Source organism: Homo sapiens, chromosome 4 (assembly GCF_000001405.40).
Source record: "Homo sapiens chromosome 4, GRCh38.p14 Primary Assembly".
Taxonomy (NCBI): domain Eukaryota; kingdom Metazoa; phylum Chordata; class Mammalia; order Primates; family Hominidae; genus Homo; species Homo sapiens.
The window spans coordinates 170,225,024-170,249,418 of NC_000004.12; the positions used below are offsets into that span (position 1 = coordinate 170,225,024).

Below are 24,395 nucleotides of genomic sequence, written 5' to 3' on the forward strand. Positions count from 1 at the left end.
AAAGAGCTATTTCTTATTTAAAATTTTCTTGTAAATTTCTTTATAAAGAAGAGTAATAACAAGTTCAAAGAAGAAATTAAATGATAATGTGTTTTCCATTGAGGATTGTTATAGCTTGGGTTAGAAAAATCTGTGAGGAACAAAAAAGGAAAACAAGAAATTACACACTGCTAATATAGGTGTGATGTTTCAGGTACTAAAAATAAATCACCTTTTCTGATACTGAGAAGAGAAATACCAAATGACTGCAAATGATCATAATATTTACTTTTATTTCTATAATTTAAAAAACAAAGATTGAGTAAGAAAGATAGAACATAGTTTTGATACTCGTGTCCCTCAGGTGCTATCACTAGGAACTAACAAGACAGATGATTTTTTCCAGAATTTTCTCTCTAGAGCTGGTAGTAGGATCTGTGTGTAAGGCACTGGTTCCAGGAAAGGTGAGATTAGCAGATATCTTTCATTATAACTATACCTTTATGTCAAAGCCAGCTAAATGAAACTATACACTAAAGTTAAAAGTTTAAAAATACTATGATTATGATTGAAGGACCACTTATAACCACCTTTAAAGAATAGTTTTGTGGCTGGGTACAGTGGCTCATGCCCGTCATCCTAGCACTTTGAGAGGCTGAGGCAAGAGGATTGCTTGAACCCAGGAGTATGGACAATGTAGTGAGACCCTGCCTCTATGAAAAAAAATGTAAATAAATAAAGAATAACTTTGAGTTGATATTAACTCTGGGGACTCACAACACTGCTTAATACAGATTAGAAAATATTATCAGGCAACATTTTATAACAGTAACTATTATTGCAGAGAAAACATTTTGGGAAAGGTGAACACCAGTGAGAAAGAAAAAGGTAGTTGGGTTATATGAGCACAAGTCTATAGATTTTGGAACAGAATTATGCTGTATTATTATCTAATTATGTATCCAAATCATCGTGGTCAAGTAAAAGAAGAAATTCAGCTATAGGGAGAGGAGGTGGCAATATGGGGTTTTAAACAAAATCTCTATCTCTACTCTTATCTATCTTATGCTGAGAGGTGCAGGGTCGAGTTATCCTAGATCTTAACTTAATGAGAGTCCTGGAGGGGAAATGGGAGCCCAGTGGAAGGAGCTAGAGGTGAAATCTTGGATTTTAGGGCCCTGCAGACACACAAACCAGAAGAGAGTGAATGATCCTTATTAAGGGGTCTGCAGAAATGAAGGAATTTCTTAAGAACCCCTACATGTACCAGGTGCCAGAAATAGTAAGTTCCTCTTCTAAGCTTCCTTGGTTTTTCTTGCTCTGTGCACAGCCCTTCCTGCTTAGTCTGTAATGAGCACTTGTTTCTCTGCTTAATCTGTAACTAGCAAACCTCTTACTCTGTAAACAAGCCTTCCCACCTAGTTGGTAAGGGACAGCCTCTGCCTTCTCCCCTAATTGGCCTTACTCAATTTCAAATACTAGCCAATCGGGTCAGCTTAGACTGTGTGGTCTGACTCCAGCCAATGGGGAAAGGACTCAGAACAGGAACTGTGTTAGGGATAAAAACCCCTGCCCTACCTGGCTAGGTGTGCTCTTGTGATTGTGACTGACACAGGCAGCACCCTTTTGCAGAAGTAGATGTGCGTTGCTGAGAAATTTTCTGCCTAAGTTCTGGTTTTCTTTGCAGCACCCAGCATTTGTTTCTAACACAGGGAAAGAGTGAGCTGGAGAAACCTCTCAAATTCAAGAAAGCGTAAAGCAAATTGAACAATACGGGTGAGGTAAGAACTTGACTTCTCTAAGTTTTTCCCCTCTACCACCCTCTTCCTAAAATAATTACAGGATGTAGAAGCTAAGATGAGTAGGCTAAGGAAAAAATTGGTAGGAAAGAAAGAAGATGCCAGAAGATGTCAAAGGTTTTTGCTTCCAGCAGACTCTAACTAAATAAATGTTAAATTAATGTAAAAATAAATATGGGCTTTTGATTATTACATGGAACAAGATCATTTAATTTTTTAACTGATTGGAGTTTAAAATTGCAGTTACTTAAGATTGACCCCTAAGTTTTGAGACTTCCCAAGTCTTTATTCCAGGTAAGTGGGAAGATAGAACATTTTAGAGAATATCTTCACTTTAATCAGGTTGAACCTTATATAGCTAACATTTTCTTTTGTCTCAAAATTATGAGAAAGGAAAATGTCATATGAACTCAGAAAAGTAATAGGATCTAAACTTGAACAAGTAAAAAAATCATGATTTTTCAATTCTCTTGTGTATATAAATTACTTAGACCAATCTTTAGCAAAAATAAAATGAGAACTGTTTTATAAACAGTAAAGCGTCTACAGATTATTCAAGAAAGAAACCTTATCTGTGAGTTCTTTGAGAACAAAAGCATTTTATGACAGCTGTGAACTAATTAGTGTCATTAGGTATTAAAAGGCAAGAACAACAAAAAACAGTGAGCAGACCATATAGAGAAGTTAGAGGACTGGAAAGAAATTAGGCATGATGTAAAGTTTAAGAACAGTAAAAACTAAATATCATTTGCATTGAAGAAAAGGTGTTTGAAAATGATGAGTTCTGTTTTTTGTTTGCTTGTTTATATTTTTCTTTTGGTAACTTTTCTTACCCCTCCCCCAAAACTGTTAAGTGCTTCATTAGTAAACAACATGATGGACAGAAAGGAGGAACACATTATGAATAGTTTTGGCTTAGAATTATGTGTTAGTTTATAATAGCATGTCTAAAATTTTTGAGTTGTATGTAAAATGCTTAAGAATTTTTAATAAAAAATCCCAGTGTGTTGTGATATCTCTTGATCTAAAATAGCTAACATCTGAATTTTATGATTTCATGCAACAATTTTATTTCATTCATGATTTTGTGGGTCAGGAATTCTGGAAGGGCCAGGCTGGGTGATTCATCTTTGCTCAGGTTGGCAGCAGTAGAAGCTGTGGGATACACTCAAGATGGCTTCTCCACCCCCATATCTGGTGCCATGGTGCTCCCTGGCCTCTCTTTCTTTCCATACAGCATTTCCAGGGCCTCTCCAATGTGGCCTGGGCTTCTCACATACAATGGTTTCAGGATAAGTAGCTCAGGGCTCTGGAAGATCAAGAAAGAGACACTAGTTCTCCTACAGGCTGAGTCTGGAACTGGAGTGGAATAATCTCTGATGCTCTCTATTGTCAAAGCGTAGTCCACCAGTTTAGATTCAAGAGAGAGAAATAGATTCCACCTCTGCATGGAAGGAGGGTCAGAAGTTTTTCAGCTTTCTTAACCCTCCACACTATAGTTTATCAACCTTTAAGTTTGTCGAGCCTTCTGAGAATCTGATGAAAAATATGGGAAAATGCACTTTCATCACATTTGTATGCAATTTTGGTGGAAACACTTACCCTGAAGATTTAATGTCTAAAATAAGTTGCTTGATGAATGGAATTATAGAAACAGTATATAATCCTTACCTTGATGTCAGATCCATTGGTCTGTTCACTAAATCCCTATCTTCTTTGTCCTCTTCATTCTTCTTTAAGCACTCTTGATTTTCGTCTCCTCCAACCTTAACCTTCTCTTCCTTTCCTCTTGAGGTCTGTCTTTGAAAGGATCTTGGTTGTAGTTCAGCAGTTATAATTTCACAAGGTTCATTTCTCTCAGGGTAGTAATAAACTTTTAAAGTATGACTAGGTCAATATTTCTCTAAATGAGCTCCTTTGTCCATAATTTATACCCAGTGGCAAACACTCTGTGACTAGAAAGACAGAAAGGAAATAATACCTTGGGACAATATTTTAATAGCCAGATGTCATTGCCACTAACCAATGTTTAGGCTGTATACAAGTATAACCTTGCTGACTGATTTCCAACTCTTATCCAAACTGTCTACCTGGATTTTGTTTCTTGTCAGCCACCACAAATACAAAGGTTGTTTCTCAATTTTGTTCTGTAAACATATGATTGCTGCATCCTCCAGGAATTGAAATTAAGCATCCCAGCTTTGGGAATATTTTTCAGAAGCAATAAAAGACTTCTTTGGCTTTGTCTTTTTATGAGGATGCTTTGCATCCTGCTCACATGCCTTGTAATGTAATCTCAAGACACAGCTGTTGTTTCAGAGAGTTCATTCATGTCAGCAGCAATTAAAAAGTCCTTTGTTTTCCAAACATGCTTCCCAGCTTGTCTTGAGGAGCTTTGCAAACAATGACTCCTACAGCTTGAGGAAAGGAATCCTTATTGTGTGTGGCAGAAAGGGTGTGTCATGCTCATTTTCAGTCTCGTTCCATGATTTACCACAGGTACACCTGTGCATCTTCTTGACAGTGAAGTTTTAAATATAGAACATTCTCAGTCATCACTTTGCCACCTTGAGTTATGACCCCTTGTAGCAATGAGTTAGAGCATACTTATAAGATGGGATGAAAATCAAACCACTCCTTTGATATTACAAGTGTTACCCTGCTTATATTTTCATTTTATATATCGAAATGGATGTATCCTGGAGACTTGAGCTTCAGTAGCTTGATATTGCTTTGCTTTTAGGTGAGATGTGTACTATAGGACAGTATCTCAAGGGCTCCCTGTGCATACTTTGTGTTTCAGGTTATGGGCACCTGGAGAATGACGAATTGAAAGAGAGACATGTGCTATGATTTCAGAGCCTCAAAAAGGCAGGTTCTTTCCCTATTGGTCCTGTTTTCCTTTCTCAAAAGTGAATGAGTACATTCCTTGTAGAAGATTAGAGAAAGTACACATGGCCTTGTCTTATCTAGCCTTTTCACTTGTAGAGTCGGGTCTCATGTGTATTAAGATAAATCACTGCTATGATCATTTACAAATATTAGTATCATGAATACATTTGTATACCTTTCAGATTGCTACACATAGACTATGTCTTATTTTAATGATTTGTGTGTGTTTGTGTGTGGTGGTGGTAGGAGTAGGGGTAACTAAACTGGTACTCAAATAACACATCCTTTCTGTTTTTGGTCAGTTTCTAGACTTCTTTTTGCTTTGGAACAAGAGGATGGGATGAAGGTGGGAGCAGGGAACTAAGGAAACTGCTAACATAATGAGCTGAAACACACAGCCGGGGTACATGTTTTGCCTTCACCTTTTAAATAATCAGAATGAGCATGTGACATCTCAAATGAAATATTCGTTTACCTAATTGACAATGGGTTTTATATTTTAGCAAATATACAAAAAAGTATAGAATCTGCACTCTAGGGAATACATAAAGATATTATAGAACAGGACAAATATTTCAAACTCAAGTTCCATAAGTCTATAGACTCTTTAAAGTCTGCTGACATTAAGATAAGGAGTAATCAGGTATATATTAAAGTAGATTTTAAAAACGTGAAGCTTTTGAGTATTTTGCAAGCCTGTTGGTGAACACACATGTGGACTCTGAGCCATGTGATTAACGTGAGCTCAAGCTTTTCTCAGCTGGAAAGCTGCCCTTAGCAATAGCATATCCTTCACTCACAATGTCTGAAAATCCGAGTAAAAGGCAGGCAAAGTAATATGTAATTAAAAAGTGTTTTTCTTATTCTGCCTTTATGAAAGTGTTGTAACCAAGCGAGTTACAGAGAAACGCCACACTGTGAGATGAATTCAGGATTCCTTTATTAGCTGGCGACCAAGAAATGGCTAGCACTCAAAATTCTCTTGGCCCCGAAGAAAGGGCTAGATTTTCTTTTATACTTTGGTTTAGAAATGGAAGTGGGGGAGTCTAGTTAAAACAATCTTACAGAAGTAAAGCAGGCAAAAAGTTAAAAGGATAAATGGTTACAGGAAAGCAAACAGTTCCAGGTGCAGGGGCTTTAGATCTATCACAAGGTGATAGACGTGGGGCTTTGGGTATTATCAACCAGATACAAACATGGGGGCTCTGGGTGCTATTAACTGGGTGAATTCCTGGGAACTGTGGATATAGCTTGCCACAGTAACTTATCAGTTTAATTGCATTCTTGGATGTGCTGGGAGTCAGCTTGCACAAGTTAAGTCCTTGAGGAAGGAGGATGGGTAAGGGGCTGCAAGTGAAGGAGCCAAGATGGAGTTTGTCTGGCTCTTTTAGCTAAGGGAGAGTCAATTCAGGTTAAAACAAGGTAGGGTATCACAAAAGAAGAGATCCAAATAATCCTAGTTCATAGAGTTAGAACTGATCTTAAATCAGCTAGTGGAAACCTTGCTTTGTGTAAAAGGAGGAAGCAGCAACAGTAACAGCAGAGAGATAAGTGATTGCCTACACACTGCTCAGTCAGCCAGGATCTGAATTTAGGTCTTTTGACTAAGCCAATCCTGAATATCAAATTAGAAAGCCTGAGAGAAGTGTACTAGGTACTTTGTTTTTACATCTTTATTGAGATAATTCACCCATTTAATATATACAGAACTGGGCTGTTTTTTAGTGTTGCTGTTGTTTGGATTTGTATCCCCACCCAAATCTCATGTCAAATTGTAGTCCTCAGTGTTGGAGGAGGGGCCTGGTGGGAGGTGATTGGATCATGGGGGCTGATTCCCTCTTGCTGCTCTCCTGATAGTGAGTGAGTTCTCACGAAATCTGGTTGTTTAAAAGTGTGTAACACTTCCCCCTTTGGTCTCTTCCTCCTGCTCCAGTCATGTAGGATGTGCTTGCTTCCCCTTTGCCTTCCACCATGATTGTAAGTTTCTTGAGGCCTCCTCAGCCATGCTTCCTGCACAGCCTGTGGAACTGTGAGACAATTAAACCTATTTTCTTTATAAATTACCCAGTCTCAGGTACTTCATTATAGCAATGCGAGAACGAACTAGTACAAACCTATTCACAGAGTTTTGGAGTTATCACCACATGTGAACATGACTTTAGAACATATCAAAACTCCCAAAAGAAAACCTTTCTCCTCTAGCAGTCACTTCCTATTCACACCTAAAGGCCCGCCTCCACCCTCGTCCTAGGCAAGCACTGGTCTACTGTCTGTCCTGATGGATTTTCCTATTCTGGACATTTCATACAAATGGGATCATTTGACATGTGGTCTTTTGTGAGTAGCTTCTTTCACTTGGCATAATATTGTAATACTTCCATGTTAAAATGATAATCCGTATTTCATTTTTTTATTGCCAAATAGTATTTTATTGTACAAACACTCCACATTTTGTTAATCTGTTAATGAGTTGAAAAATCATATAGGCTGTTTTCATTTTTTGGCTATTATGAATAGTGCTGTTATAAATATTGTGTGAAAGTTTTTGTGTGCACTGCACATATATTTTAATTTCTCATGGGTATATATTTGGAAGTGAAATTGTTGGGTCATATGGTAAACCTATGTTCAATATTTTGAAGAACTGCCAAACTATTTTTTCCTAGTTTGTTTTTAAAACAATGTCACAATATTATACTAACAACTACCATGAATCAGGGCGATGTTCAGCTGATTTTCAAAGTATATAACCATCCATATGGAAAAGTTGGTGTATATTAATACATAGTTAAAAATCATGAAGAGGCACAAGAAAGTCCTCATCATTAAAATAAGACTATGAAAAGCAATAATCATGCTTTCTACATTGTGAATAATTTGCATAGTCTACATTTAAACCAGCCAGTATATAACAGGCTTTTCGTTGGCAGCAATAAGGATTTGGCCAAGTTAATGCTAATGTACTCTTTCACTTTGCATTTCTAGATATAGAAAATGGCAACAGGTTTTTGATAAAGATGTTAAGATATTGAAAAAATAAAACTAAAAATATCAGCAGGAGAGAAGAACAGCACCATTAAAGGAAGGGACTGGTCTTAGTACTAAAGTTCTCTGAATACCAACTGCATCAGGGGTTTGGCAGCAGTATCATGCATACACTGAAGAAAGCTTTTTTGCTGCCTTTTGAAGCTGCCTTTTGTAGGTCTTATGTATAAACAAACCAGATTGAGGCTATTCAATTTTTTATCTGTATTTCTCTTAAGACATTTTGACAGCAATTTTTTTTAACCGTATACCCAGTAAAATAGCTGGAATGTCTAAATTTAGGTCCAAGACCCATTTTTTCTCTGAGCTCCCCCACAATCCATGGGACATTACTTTGTATCCTGGAACCCCACCTTCACCTGTGGAACAGGAATAATTATCCACCTGTGCACCTAAGGAGATGGGGATATGTGATAAAAAATGAGCTATGTAGCACACAGTACTCTGTGAACTATTTATTTGTTTATGTGTTTTGAGACGGAGTCTTGCTCTGTTACCCAGGCTGGAGTGCAGTGGCACAGTCTCGGCTCACTGCAATCTCTGCCGCCCGGGTTCAAGAGATTCTCCTGCCTCAGCCTCCTGAGTAGCTGGGATTACAGGTGCGTGCCACCACACCCGGCTAATTTTTGTATTTGTAGTAGAGACAGGGTTTCGGCATCTTGGCCAGGCTGGTCTTGAACTCCTGACCTTGTGATCCACCCAGCTCGGCTTCCCGAAGTGCTAGGATTACAGGTGTGAGCCACCACACCTGGCCCTGTACTCTAAACTATCAAGCCCTAAAAGGTAAGGCATTTCTATGGGCCAAGTATAACTGTGCTTATTATAAATGTTTGAAGGGATATTTTAAATGTTCAGAGCACTTATGCTTATTTTTTTCACACCTACCTATAATTAATGATCAGCACTATTTAAAGCATTTAAAGGCACATTTCTAAACTAATAGGCACAAATAAAAATATAAAATTAGGAAGAATTGAAACATTTGCTTAGCTACCACATCCAACATGAAACATTCCTTCAAAAGGCTTTCTTGGAAGATATTGGAAGGAGCATGGAGCACATACATTACAGAGAAACTGAATTTGTATTTTGCGTAATTTCAGGTTGCAGATTGCTCAGTTCTTTCCTTATTTCCCACAAACACTTGAAGCTCACCCCATTCTTAACTCCATCTCTTGGAGCTGATTTTATATTTTTGCAGGCAAAAATAAGAGGTAAAGGGATAGGTGAACTGTGGCTATTTAAAGTAAAATATATATAACACATTTCCTTTGCTCTCTTCTTGTGATACCAATACCAAAACACACCATTTTTTTTTATTATACTTTAAGTTTTAGGGTACATGTGCACAACATGCAGGTTTGTTACGTATAAAGAGTTTTTCAAGTTCCATTTAAAAAAGAAGGAAAAACATAATAAAGAGCTATTATTAAAATTCACATCAATTGGCAAGTTAAAAGCAATGCTGGGAATATGACCCTGAAGAGCCATTTCTTTTTTGCTTCTACTCACTTATCAATATAATTATAGTTTCATTAAATGCATTTGGGATTGAAAGTGTTTGTAAAGTAAACATTTACTTTAAAACAATGTATTAAAAGCTTAGAAAGATGGGAGTATATATATCTGTACACATAAAAGTACATCTCTATATATATACTTATATATTTTATTATATATAATTTATATGTAATTATATATACTTGTATATATATTATTAGTATATATATTTATATATGCAAACAGTATATACATACTATATATAAAGTATACATATATAAAGTTTATATATAAAAAAGTATATATATACTTTATGTATAAAAAGTACATATACTTTATAAAAAGTATATATTAAAAAGTATATATATATGTTTTCATGATGAAAGATTGCAAATATAAAATAAGACAAAGAATAGGAAATTTTAGTAAGAATATATCAACAGAAAATATAATTAGCAGCATGTCGAGAACATTAAATTTTGCTGCTGTCGAATTTTATGATAGTAGCAGCTGCTCTGCCACTTACTACCTAAGCATCAATATCTTAAGACAACACAGAGCCTTATTTTTTATTATTTTTTTTCTACCTGAAAAAAAACCAGACAGGGAATTCAGCAGGTGCTATTTCTGGAGAAAAATGACTAGCATTATGAACATCTTCAGTTATTTGCCTCGCTTCATGTAACTTCCTCTTTCCTCCCTCCAAGTTCTCATTATTCAAAAATCATTTACTACTAAATTATAGAAACAATAGTTTCTCCTAAAGCAGAAGTGAAGTGAAGCTGGGTATGAGTCAATAAAAAATTACGAGGCTCTCAAATCATCAAAAAGATGCCACCTATGACATATGACCTATGCTGGTCTTGGCACCCGTTTATGAAGAGACTAGAAGGGGTAATATTTTTTCTTCTGTGGAACTGATGGTCCCTGTCATCTCAACTTGAGGGAAGGTTTGTCTTTGAACCAAAACATATTCGTTTTTGGAGGATATACACATGAGCATCTTTTCCTAAGAAAATATGTCCGAAACGCTCATCATTATCTCGGCAAACAGAGCGCTGAGATCAGTGGCTTGCAAGCCTCAGTAGCCTGGCTCATTGTTTTCTTCTAGGTATGGTAGAATCAGTGAGTGCATGGCTCAGAGGGAGGCTGCAGAGCTAGGCAAGCCTCAGTTCAGACTTGGCTGCTCAGGAACAGTGTGACCTTGGCAAATTATGGGGTTTCTTAAAGCCTGTTTCTTCATTTATAAGTTTAAGTATATGCATCATTTTTTTAAAAAAGGTTTAAAAGTATGTATATAATACTTTGCACATGTTATGCACAGCAGAAGCTGCTGGGTTTCCTTACTCTTTCCTTGCCCATAGAATCCTGAGGATATTTGAGTCACAGAGTACCCAGGGCCGGGGGATTAGTCCTGACTGTTTTTGTACTATGTGGCAATCTCATTTTCCATTGCCATGGCTGATTTTCAAATATGACATTCAGTTATGGCCAATGATATGTAGCGGGGAGACCTCTGGGGCTTCTAGGAGAGGTTTTTCACCTTGAAAAGACAGAGGGGTTGGAGGAAAAGTTCTGTTTGGTGTTGGACTTTTGTTATATGAGAACTTGAGGCCTGGTGCTGCAGTAGCCAACTGACTGAGACAAAACTGAGTATGAAAAGCTGAGCTTGAGTTTGAATGTGGGTCCCCAGGTCATTATGGAGCAACCATGAGACAGCCTCTTCCAGCCTTTTGTTAAACACAATAAATATCCTGTGTTTAAAGCACTCTGGGTAGTATTTCCCATTATTTGTAACCAAAAGCATCCAACGCAAAAAGTAGACTGTTAATAATATGTGTTAATCAGTATATTTTAAAAGGGCAAATTGGTATTTATTAAAATCTATATCCTTGAATTAATAGAAAATAATCCCCAACTGAATTCCAGCTGCAATTCTATAATACTTTTTAGAATTTTGGAAATTTAAAAATCTTAAAAAACCATTTTTTTTTCGATTTCAAGGAAGATCTAATAAAATTTACTTGAATTCAATCAGTTATGTTTATTTTAAAGGCAAAGCAGAATGCCATAGACTTATACTTTGGAAGGGAATTTAATAATAATTATTTATATCTAAAATTTAAATTAACTTCCTGCCTCTAATTAAAGAGCACTTAAAAACCATCTCAAGAGACAGAACTGGGGTTTTTAAATGAATTTTTAAAAATCAACCTATTAAATAGCAGCATTTTAGGTTAGGTTTATGTAGTACACAGGTTCATGTTAGAATCCATAATTATGGATCACATCCAGTTTGGGTGATCCATGAAAAATAGCTCTTCCTTCATGCCCATAATTTACATAAAAGAAGGTATTTCTTGTTCCTTCTTTTAATTACATGGGTAATACTCACTGCAGAGGAGAATCCTAATTTCTGTTGTATTTTTATTCCTCTATTGGAGATCTTTCTCTTCCCTTTCTTCTGCTTATCTCTGACAGCCTACAAAGCTAAAGGAAATTAAGAATGTATAAACATACCAATCCCGGAAATTTGAAATCTTTTCGGATTTTATTAGACCCTGTGATACCAATCAGAAATTTGAAACTTCTTTTGTCTTGGAAGCTGCAGACAGGCTGTCATATTCTTTAAAAAAAATTAGTGAGAAATGGTACATACAGATCAGGTAAGGACCTAGATCTAGATCTGATTTTTTTTAAAGTACCAGCAATTGGCCAGGCTCAGTGGCTCACGCCTGTAATCCCAGCACTTTGGGAGGCTGAGGCGGGCAGATCACGAGGTCAGGAGATTGAGACCATCCTGACTAACACGGTGAAATCCTGTTTCTACTAAAAATACAAAAAATTAGCCGGGTGGTGGCACGTGCCTATAGTCCCAGCTAATTGGGAGGCTGAGGCAGGAGAATTGCTTGAACCTGGGAGGCGGAGGTTGCAGTGAGCCGAGATAGAGCCACTGCACTCCAGACTCCAACTCAAAAAAAAAAACAAAAAAGTACCAGTAACCCAGTAACTATAACAGTAGGTTGTTTGAGCCAGTTCAATAGAGAGTACAGGTTGTTGTATATTAAAGTAAAATGTGTAAATGTCTTCTTTGATGTAAAAGGTTACACATTCATCATTTGTCATTAAAAAATAATTATTGCGTCTCTACTATGTTCCAGGCCATTCTACATTCAAACTTATAAAACCCCTGGAGGCCCCGGGCCCTACTGCGTAGTAAAAATGCCTCAGAAGCTCCTGTAATTCCCTTGGCCATACTATTGATATTCCAAATTATATTACTATGTGAGCATAAGTGTGTGGCTAGAAAAAAGCAGTCAAGAATGATGGACTGCATGCAGGCAGGAGTGTGCCTTGTACTCACCTCAGGGTCGGTGAGCTGGACTTGTGGATTATGAACTTGTTGCAGGTGGTCGACAGGAACTGTCTGTGGTTTGGGTTGTCAGGGGGCATCAAACAATGTAACTGTGCCATGTGGGTGTTCACGTTGTGCACATGTACCCTCAAACTTAAAGTATAATAATAATAAAATTAAAAAAACAAACAAACAACAACAACAAAAAATGTAACTGCCCCCTCATCAGCATGTCAAATTGTATTAATTCTCATCTTATGTAAATTCTCTGATGAACATTCTTATTTCCTGCAAGATTATTTGAGATAAAGCTGAGAGTTAAAATATAAGTAATTTGAAATGGATTTCCATGATTATGAACAAGAAATCCTTGGGAACCCATTTCTTTGTCCATGGACCACCAAGGGGAGTGCAGAGAGAACTGCAGTTCCGTGCAATCAATTTCCTCTGTAATTATGCATTTTACAGTAATAAATTTTAAAACATGATTTTTGAGGACTCAGACTTCCACAAACTGCCTGAAAGGTCTATGAGCCATTGTGGAAGTCAGTATGGCAATTCCTCAGGGATCTAGAACTAGAAATACCATTTGACCCAGCCATCCCATTACTGGGTATATACCCAAAGGACTATAAATCATGCTGCTATAAAGACACATGCACACGTATGTTTATTGCGGCGCTATTCACAATAGCAAAGACTTGGAACCAACCCAAATGTCCAACAATGATAGACTGGATTAAGAAAATGTGGCACATATACACCATGGAATACTATGCAGCCATAAAAACTGATGAGTTCATGTCCTTTGTAGGGACATGGATGAAATTGGAAATCATCATTCTCAGTAAACTATCGCAACAACAAAAAACCAAACACCTCATATTCTCACTCATAGGTGGGAATTGAACAATGAGAACACATGGACACAGGAAGGGGAACATCACACTCTGGGGACTGTTGTGGGGTGGGGGGAGGGGGGAGGGGATAGCATTGGCAGATATACCTAATGCTAGATGACGAGTTAGTGGGTGCAGCGCACCAGCATGGCACATGTATACATATGTAACTAACCTGCACATTGTGCACATGTACCCTAAAACTTAAAGTATAATAATAAAAAAAAGAATAAAATAAAAAAAAAAGAACTAGAAGGGGGGAAAAAAAGAAAGTTTAAGAGTAATGTGGAAAGTAAATATAAGCATTTGTGCAACAGTGGTGGAAGGAATATGGAAATTAGATAATAGAAACAAGATCACTAATAAAGTTTATCACTATAAAGTTTAGGTCAGTTTTATCTTCCTCTAGCACATGAAATTGGGGCTGGAGCTGGCATCACAACATCACTGAAGTCTCTGCATGGTTGGGAACCTTCACACCTCCTCATGAGGAAGGGAATAAGCACAGCAGTGTGTGATTCTGTGGACAATCATCTTGGAGCTGTTGGATTTAGCAGTGGCTAAAATGGCCATATGTTTTGAAAAGGAAGCAAGTCCTAGAGTTTGTTAGGTTGAAACTGGCAAGCAATCACAACTTTTTTGTCTGACTACATTTTACTTTCATTGCTTAGTAAAAATATACCCCAAACATCGGTAATGTCTAAGTACTTTCATTAAATGGTTTTATTTAAAAAGTGAGCAAGACATTTCCTCATATCACCATATCCTGTGATATGTTTTTAAGTTTGCAAATTGGAAAGCAGGCCCAGAGACTGGTATGTCTTGGGTGGCCTTTCATGGCCCAAACTAGTTGTAATCGCCTATTTCCAATTTTCTCCTCTCTTTCTTTATCCATTGCAGGATTAATGAAGACTCAGGTATATGGTCATATTTTCAGAACCATGTTAACCATAGTCAAAGGAACTTGTAAATGTATACAGACTGTTTTTTTAAAGTTATGTCACACATTTGCTTTTTATTATTTATTTACTTTTTGTAATTTCAGCCTGTATTTTAGATTCAGGGGGTACATGTGCAGGTTTGTTACTTGGGTATATTGCATGAGGCTGAGGCTTGGTGTACGATTGATCCTGTCACCCAGGTAGTAAGCAGAGTATGCAACAGTTAGTTTCTCAACACCTGCCCTCCCTCTCCTTCCCACCTCTAGTAGTCCCCAGTGTCTATTGTTCTTACTTTTATGTCTATAAGTACTCAATGTTTAGCTCTTACTTATGAGCGAGAACATGTGATATTTGGTTTTCTGTTCCTGTATTAATTTGCTTAGGATAATGGCTTCCAGCTGCATCTATGTTGCTGCAAAGGATATGATTCATTCTTTTATATGACTGCATAGTATTCCATATACCAGACTATTTTAAAATAAAGGCAGTTTTTCTCTTAAGGAGAGAACTGCAAATAATGAAAATGTGTTCAAAAGTTATTTAAAATCAAAACAAGCTAAGGGTCTTTGTCCATTTTGTGCTGCTATAACTGAATATCCAAGACTGAGATATTTATAAAGAGGAGAGACTTATTTCTTAGAGCTGGGAAGTCCAAAGTTGAGGGCGTGGCATCTGGTGAGGGCTTTCTTGCTGCATCATCCCATGGTGGAAGGTGGAAGGGCAACAGAGCACGCACAACAGAGAGGGCTGAACTCATCCTTTTATCAGGAAACTACTCCTTCAATAACAGCATGAATCCAGGCATAAGGGCTCTACCCTCATGAGTTAATTACCTCTAAAGCGTCCAACTTCCCAACACTGTTGCACTGGGGATTAAGTCTCCAACACATAAACTTTGGTGAACACACTTAAACCATAGCACTAAGTTAGTTATACTGAATGAGAACGTGCTCGAAGTGTTACTATTTGCAGTTCAAATTCTATTAAAAACTGTTGAGGCATAACTTTTAGCAGGCTCAAAATGCCTTTCTTTTTATGTTTCAGGTTAAGAATGGAGAAGGAAACAGGCTTAATGTGGCCAAAAACCTTGCATATTCTAATGTGGCCACTCAAACATTTTTTCTGTCTCTCTCTGGAGTTTAAAGGCAGGGTAAAAATATCTCTGATTTGGAAATCAGAATTGATTTCCATTTTTACAGATGTGCAGCTGAAAACCTTGGAACATTCCTTGGACCTTCTTTTTCTCTTGCACCTCACATATGGTTTGTCAGCAAATGTTGTCACCTTTACCTTCAGAATATATTCATACTCCATCACTTCTCACTACCTTCTCTGTGAGCATCCATGTCATGGCCACCATCTCTCTCCTGGGTGACTCTACTGGTCTTCAAACTGGTCTTCCTGTTTCCCTCCTTGCTCCTGTTAGATTCTTTTTTCAACACCTTAGACAGAGGTCTGTTAAAATGTTAAGTCAGATCATGTTACCCCTCCACTCGAAACCCTGTGATCATTTTCCATCTTACTCAGGGTTCCAGTCATGGCCCTTCCAGTGGCCAACCAGGCCTTACATTCTGTTCATGTTAGCTCTCTTGTCTCATTTCCTCATTTTCCCTGCTCACTCTACTTCAGCCACACTGACCCATTGCTTTCCCTTATCTTCAAACCCTGGAATAGTGGCTGTCACATAGTAGGTACTCAATAAATTTTGGATAGATGAATGGAAAACCAAGTATCTTCTGTGCTTATACTGTGATCAGAAATTCAAAGAAAAATGGACTAAGTCCCCCATTTTGTGTTTAGCTCCTAATGTCCCTTGTAAGTTCCTGGGGGACCTTAAATATCTTTTTATTTTTCTTTCTCTATTATTATTATTTTTTTGAGATGGAATCTCACCCTGTCGCCAGGCTGGAGTGCAGTGGTGTGATCTCGGCTCACTGCAACCTCCGCCTCCCGGGTTCAAGCGATTCTTCTGCCTCAGCCTCCTGAGTAGCTGGGACTACAGGCGCCCGCTGCCACTCCCAGCTAATTTTTGTATTTTTGGTAGAGATGGGGTTTCACCATGTTGGCCAGGATGGTCTCGATCTCTTGACCTTGTGATCCACCAGCCTTTATCTCCCAAAGTGTTGGGACTATAGGCGTGAACCACCATGCATGGCCTTCTTTTTAGTTTTCAAAAGCCCTAAATCCTGATTTCCTCTGAAGTTTTTGTTTGCATTCTGCATTCTGCCTTCCGTGTGTGCTGTCCTTTTTCTGCATTATGTTGCTCTGTTGTGCATGCTTGAATCCTTCACTCCCCACAGCTCTGTGTATAGCAGGCTTGGTTAAGATTTGGAATAATTAATGTTTAGGTCCTTGCTTTCTTAAAAGCCATTACTTTCTGCACTGAGAACTTTTGATGGATTCATCTACTCAAACTCCAGCCTCCTTCTATTTCCTTGGTTTTGCTTTTTCTCTTTCCCAAAGTACTGCATTCCTTCTTAGGACATCTGATTATCAGAGCATTCTTTCATTTCTGAGCCAGACTATCTCATATGGTTTCTACGCATTAGCAGATAAAATTCATTTTCCTAATTCTGTAACGCTCATTTAGAACAAATAACATCCCTTTTTCAGTGCTTCTCAGTCTTCTGGGGCTCTACGAAAGTATTATAAGCCTGGATAATTTGACTAAACATAGTTTTCTTAAAACGAAAACCATTCCTCCATCTGGAAAGTTCTATTTATTTTGGAAAAAAATATGCTTTATAGTGATTAGGCCTCAGATATAAGCTCATTAGCCACATTATAGCCTGCATTTATTAATACATATTGGCTTTTTCAAAAAACTTTCTTAATGGATCTCTTGATATAGTAAAAACTGTGAATGGTTTTAATTGTCTAATGTATATTTTATGACAGATAAAAATATTATTATATCTGAATTCATGCTCTATTGCTAAAACTTAAGAATGTTATAAATAAACTACTTGAAATGTCCCATTTTTTGGGGAAAAAAACTTTTTATGAAGCTTAATGTGCAGTTAATTCAGAGCCTACACAAGAATGGCCTCCTCTTAAAAGACTAACTATTCATTATGTGGCATTTTGTAGAGAAATTTAACTAAAGCAATGTAGGCAGCTTCACTCCAGTTCTTGGCAATAAGCAACACTGATGATTAATGACCTACACTGGTAATTGGCTCTTGGTTACAGATGCCATGGACATTTAAGAAATGAGACTATAATGAATGGAAATATCTCAGTAGTTCAACTAGTGCTTACTCACTGAGGGATTAAGGTGACCTGACATGCTAGTGCAAGCCTGGTTATGTAAAACTGCATATGCTGTTTTTAGGTTTTCTTTGCATGGCAGTAATTTTTTTTTTCACTTAAAAAGATCTTAGAGTTAGGAAACCCTGCCAAACAGAGAACATTATGAAACAAATGCTACCAAAAACATTTGAAACCAACCTGCTAGTCAACCTAAGAGAAGTAGTTTCTTATTTTCTAAGCAAGTGACATTTCCTAATGATCACCTGCTATGAATGGGTTGTATTGTTACATTCTGTCAGACTTTAGCTTTATAAAGGTCTGTGCCTACAGGCGAACCCATGGGAACTGGGTCCTGGATTCTGCAAAGAAGAACCAAATCAAGAATCACTGTCCATGACCATTTTAAAGACCTGGTATAGGAACTAAGCCTTTCTTCTTGTTTAAATTTGCCAGCTTTGCACTTGGATTTGCCCTTTCAGATTTTGATGTGTCTGCACACTGAGATTTGTCAGTTAGTAATAAACTTTGCCAATAACTGACCATACCATATCTACCCACATTTTTTTTTTTTTTTTGAAAACTGGTTTTCTACAAGTCTTAACTTTTTTGGCTTCCAATTGGAGATTTTAGACTTGGGCAGTTTGGGGAGTGGCTGTAACTAAGAAAGCAATTCTCGCATGAGAGCCAGTGAAAGGCTTGGAAATATGAACATCTAGGTTGTTTCTGGAAGAACAGGCTGTATTTCAGCATGGCATGGGGTCTGTGGATGCATACGGTGCAGTAGACTCTAATGTTAAGCTCCACCTGATCGTAAGGGGCTCAAATGCCACTCATAACAGCTTGGCAATATCTTGTAGACTTGAAGTTTTCAAACAGGATAATGAGACATGACCATCTTTTCGTATGTTTTTGGAAGATAGCTGTCTTAGGGTGAAGGACTTAGGGAGCAAGAGGAAAACTGGAACAAGAACTGAACATTTTTGTTAGCTCATCACCAAGATAATGAGGACTTAAATTAGGGAAGGGGCTGTAAGAGGGATAAGAAGAGCAAGTTCTGTAGTAGGTAAGGCAAGACTTGGCATGTCACAGAGGTAAGAGAGAAAACAGGAAGAGCTGAAGCTAACTCAGAGTTTTCTAGCCTGTGGGGGCAGAAATGATGGCTTTGTTATGCGAGGTATGCAGCACATGAGGAAATAGGTTTTGCTGAGAAAATGTTGAGGTTTGAATATGTGGAGGTTGAAGGACTGATGAGACATTTTTCTGTTAATTAAGGTCCAGCTAGTCGGCAGAATTTAGGATTGAGGTCAGGGATGAAAGACATAGAATTGTCAGTCATCTACTTGTAGGAAATGTTTTCTCAGTGTGAGCACAGTCAGTCCTTGGAGGGCAGGTCTAGGTTTTGTTCACTCCTGTGTTTCCAACCTTTAGTGGCTGGCACAGACATTACACTGAATACTGAATGAAATAATGTGTCATATACTCCCCACCCCATTTCTTCTTTCCATTTTTCTACCAATTACTCCAAAGAAAAGAAATGTTAACCTTAAATAGTTGTATTATTATGATTTTCTTTCTAATTTAGAAGATAAACTTGCAGACTGAGAGGAGATTGGATTTTCAACACAATGGCTAAGTGTTCCTGATCTCTTATTTTCAATCTCCCTAATGCTAGCTTTTTAAAAATACGATGATTAACAACTTCTGCAAGACATTCAGACTTTATCACAGGTCTTGAACAAGAGTTAATTTTACTGTTTTGTTGAATGCTATAGCAATATATTAAAATTAGAAAGAAATATTCAGTTATGCAATATTAGGAATAAGGTTGGTTTCAACAAAACAGGTAGCCTTTCTAAAACAGAGAATGTGGTGAAAATAACAATGTTAAATTACAAATTAAACCAGTTCTTTGTCAGTGAGTAAAAACATGTTCTTGGAATTATGATTTTTTTTTAATAAAGCTGTTTGGGAGAAAAGTTCGGCTTTATCATGGTTTTCAGTCTAATCACATTGTAGCCCAAATTCACTAGTCTGAAGGTTTTCAGTGGTGGTAATGAGACAGGTATAGCAAAGGTTTAATAACTTGTGCTGTGTTTTGGCTACCTTATGTTATTTGTATATTATCTCTTTGTGTTTTAGAAATTGCCAATGTTCCTTTTTTCTGAAAAAGAATTTTTATGTCTAAAATGAGCTTTTAAGGGATTTGACTGAAAAATAACTTTGGAAATGATAACCGATTTTATATGACTCTGATTAATCGTCAGCCACTTGTAAGCTCCTTGAAGAAAGGAACTGGATCTTTGTGTGTGTGTTCATGTGTATGTATGTGTTAGGAAGTTTACATCCAACAGAGGAAATTTATGTAATTTATACATGCTGAATATGGATGAGGAAATGAGTGGTCATTGAATAGTGATCATCTACAAGATATTTTCAGAGACAAAAACTACATTAAACTGGTTTCAGGAAACATCATAATTCCATCAAAAGTATAGCTTTTGAACCAATGACTTTCAGAGCTGTTCAGAAGGACGCCATTGTTAAACTGATGTGCTATCTTTTCAGTCTGTGAACAGCACGTGGCATATCCAAACTGGCAGACAAAAGGTACGAACACCTATTGATTGCTCTTTGTTGTGTCTAGTGGGTGAATCAAACATTGAGAAGACTCTCAGTGACTTCTCCTTTTGCATTTTCTTTTCTATTCCAAGTCAAATATCACATAACATAGTAGGGAAGCCTGAAAACTGACAGTCTCTCTCATTGAGTATAAACCCTGTTCAGTATTTTTCTTTCCGGAATATTAGCCAGGGCTGTCACATTCTCTTCTATCTATGACCACCTCAGAATACACCTCTGCATGAGTAGGGAAGGTGCCGTGCTTGTGGGAGCCATATTCAGTGAAGCCCAGTTTGCATTCTAAACATTTCAGTGCACTGGGATGGCAGATGCCAGCAGAACGCTGTCCCTTGTCGGTCTTTGTCATTTCTCTTCATCCCCATGGCTGCCTCTAAGAAAAGTATAAAACCTCCTAGACTATGTCTAATTATGTAATCCCAGGTGGGCAAAAACTGCTCCCTCTCTTCAACTAATGACAAGTTTATGATCTAGGGAGGAAGAATTGATAGTCCTGGTTATTTTTATGCTAACTAGTGCCAAGACAGATGCTGTTTTGTTCTTGGAGGTATCTAGAGAGGTCTCTCCCTCAGGTGCATCATGGAAACGGAGTTGGACTGTTTTCTGAGTACCAATACGGGAATTTTTTCTTTCTTCTCCAGGCCTTAGGGTAGAGCAGCAAGATTATCTGTTGGGTCTTTTAAAAGGGAAGTATCCACTCCCTTCCCCTGCCCCCTTTTATTTAGAGACAGTGTGTCGCTCTCTTGCCCAGGCTGGAATGCAGTGGCCTGATCATGGCTCACTCCTGGGTTCGAGCAATCCTCCTGCCTTGACCTCCCACAGCACTGGGATTACAGGCATGAGCCACCATGCCCGGCTGGAAATATCCTCTTTTGAAGAGCATAAACTCTGTTTCCGCATACTTCAGATTAGTACTCCTCCTGTACCGTCTGTGACTGCTGTGTCTCTGGGCTGCTGCTGAGCTTGTGGCTGTGTCCCTGCCCCTGTCCACACCCCCTGCCTGGCTCAGGCCTCAGAATGCTACTCTGATCTCCAGCATGGACTCGATGTATTTCTCATGAAAACTAATTGAATTTCGATTCTGAATGCCTGAATTCTCCATCAGTCATTTGATTATAGCTCAGCCTCCCCATAGGCCCATAAAGGAGAAGAAGTGCTGAGAGGATACTCTGGCTAAGGACTCTTCCTCATGACAAGGCAGGGTTTTGGAGAAATACCTCTCGTGCCCTGGCAAGTGAACCTTGCATGAGCTGGGAGGGCCCCTCTTGCCTTCTCATTGAAGTCTCAACTACTGATGGGGACAGGGCCTCTAAACGTGAGGCTACATGGTCATATCACTCTGCAGATGAAAAAGGGCATGGAAAGATAAACTCATGAAAAGTCCTGTTAGGTATTGCCAGCCAGGGGCTCCTTCCCCGCAAAAAACAGCCCTGGCTTCTGTCCCTGCACTGGCCACACAGAGGCGATTCAAAGCTATATGGAGGGGCCAAAGAGGCCACAAGACTACTCACTCAGAGCTTCCTATTTGCTTTTTATTGTAAGGTTATCCATCACCTTTTATAATGCCCTAATTGTGTCTTTAAAGTCCCTCTGTTTTTGTTCACTTTGACTACTAGTGAGACTTCTCTTCTTCCTTGGAGGTAAAGGAGGTGAGCAGCAGGGGGAGAAAAAAGCACTGACTTCCTTCTGGAAGTCAGTCATTTCAGCCAGTACCATGTATTTCAATGCTTTCCCATTTTGTTGCCAACAATAGCTTTTGACATAGGCCTGTCTTCTCCTGGGCATCTCCTTCTGCTGGAGTTTCATGACTTTGGTGGATAAGACCTCCAGCCTTTCCCTAGGCTCTTGGCTCAGGGTGGGTTCTGTGTCTCAGAGCTCCTTGAGAGTGGCTGAGGGCTCAGGGAGGGACATGCCTGCCTTCTGCTCCTACATGGGGGTTGAAAGCCCTGGATCTCCAGGGGCCGGAAGTGACCACCACTTTCTTTCCTTTCTCACAGCCTAGTTTCTGTGTGGCAATCCACAGCACATCTAGCTTGTTCTTGCCTTTGAACCCTCACTCGCGCAGTTCCTGTTTTCTGGAGTCCTTTTCCTTATGACATTTCAAATTTGACTTATCCTTCAAGGCTTTTGTCATCTTAACTCCTCAGCACGTAGGGTCTCTTCTGCAAATGTAGAGATTATTCCATACTGTCTTATACTTGTGTTCAGTGAGACAATTCCATTTCTCTATTTTTTTTTTCTTGGCTCACACTTGCCAAAATTATTCTGAGTTATTTGCAAACTTCTACCTAGAATCTAAGTGTCTTTTGGGGCCTAGCTACTTCCTAGGGATCTGATTAAACTTGATCAAACCTTGCTTCCCCAGCTAGTGACAGGCCAGAATTCTCCCTCCAGTTGCTGAATGTCTGGGGTCACTTTCTCATCACTGAGATAAAAGCTGCTTTGTTTGTTCTGTCTTTCACTCTTCCCTAGAGCAGGGGTTGGTAAATTATGATCATTTCCTGCTGGCCAAATCTGGCCTATTGCCTGTCTTTGTATGACCTGTGAACTAAGAATGAGTTTCACAGAAGCTTTACTGATAACACAGTCAATTAACTCATATTTTGTATGTGATATGTATTATATACTGTAATCTTACAATCAGATAAGTTAGACAAAAGAAAATGTTATTAAGAAAACGTAAGGAAGAGAAAATGTATTAACTATTCATTAAGTGGAAGTGGATAATTGGAAAGGTCTTCATCTTTATTGTTTTTATATTGAGTACGGAGGAGAAGGGGCTGGCCTTGCTTTCTCAGGGATAGTAGAGGCAGAAGAGGTGGAAGACATGGAAGGGGAGGCAGGAGAGGCAGGCACACTCGGTGTAACTTTTTTTTGAAAAAAATCCATGCATAAGTTGACTCATGCAGTTCAAAGCTGTGCTGTTCATGGGTCAGCTACACACGACTTGCCGAGTGCTCACACTGGAGTTATTGCTCTTTGACTCTTTTCTGACTCTATACATCATTCTTTTTTTACCACTTTCTACCCAATCCTCTCCCTCCCTGCAATGTCTGGCAAATTTATTTTCTTATCTACTACAGCTTAGTTTCACCTAAAACAATGTCTCCTGGCACGTTTACCTCCAATGAGGAAATCTGGGGCCAGCTGTTAATATAATTGCACTTCCCATCTTTCTCTACATTTTTAATGCACCTTAAACAAAAGCATTGTCTCCTTGATAATCTCTCAGCTTCTTTACTCTGACTTTTACGATTTATTAAAATATTTGAGAAACAATATGCCTGATAATTAGAATCAACAATAAAATATATATATGTCGTGGTTTCCAAGAACCCTGGAGCATGGTGTGGGGTGGGAGGTGGGGGATGGCAGGGACCTAGAAAGGTCATTGAGGCAGTGAGGTAGTGATTCACTTAAGTCCCACAACTGGTTAGTATCGTTAGTCATTCACTCAAGACCAGGACTCAGGTTTCCTGACTCACATCAAACCACACTAGCTCCTCGAATGTCCTTTAAATTTTCTCCTAGTAAGGAATGATACAAGCAAATAAATCAACAAACTTATATAATTTCACATATTTAACTGGTGGGGCAAGATGATCCAAAGTAATAATCATGATATGATGTCAACTGTGGAAAGCTATCAGGAGGGAATTACCAATGAAGTGCCTGAGATGGTGATAGCATGCATGTGCACACAGGCAGGTAGATGAAGTGCCCCTTCCAAGCTTCCTTCTTAAATAGCACAGCACCAAAGACAATTATCTCTACTGAATTGCAAAAGCAATAATTATTGTATCTCCTAGAATACTCCATTTTTTCCTATTTTCTCACCTCACCGCTAATTTAAGATAACTCGATGGCATTTCAGTAGGAGAAAAGAATTTGTATGTAAATGAGGGAACAGACAAAAACAGGTTATTAAAGTCCATTGGATTCTAGAAAGCTTCACATTTGATTAAAAAACTATGATTCTACAAAAGTGTTTAAGAACATCTGGAGATTTTTTTCCACTAAATTATTTTGAGAATAGTAATGTGATTTTTATTCTAGAGTAAAATGAATTCTGCAGCAGCTTTGTAATAAAAGTGCA

General features: G+C 38.2%; 1 long non-coding RNA gene across 1 annotated transcript in view; it reads left to right on the top strand.

Moving 5' to 3' along the window:
* Positions 1-1,567: 1,567 nt before the first annotated feature.
* LINC01612 (long intergenic non-protein coding RNA 1612) overlaps positions 1,568-24,395 on the top strand; it is a 57,133-nt gene continuing 34,305 nt past the window's right edge. Inside the window, exon 1 of the long non-coding RNA NR_125889.1 lies at positions 1,568-1,760. This is a non-coding gene — a long non-coding RNA (long intergenic non-protein coding RNA 1612). The remainder of the gene's footprint in view (positions 1,761-24,395) is intronic.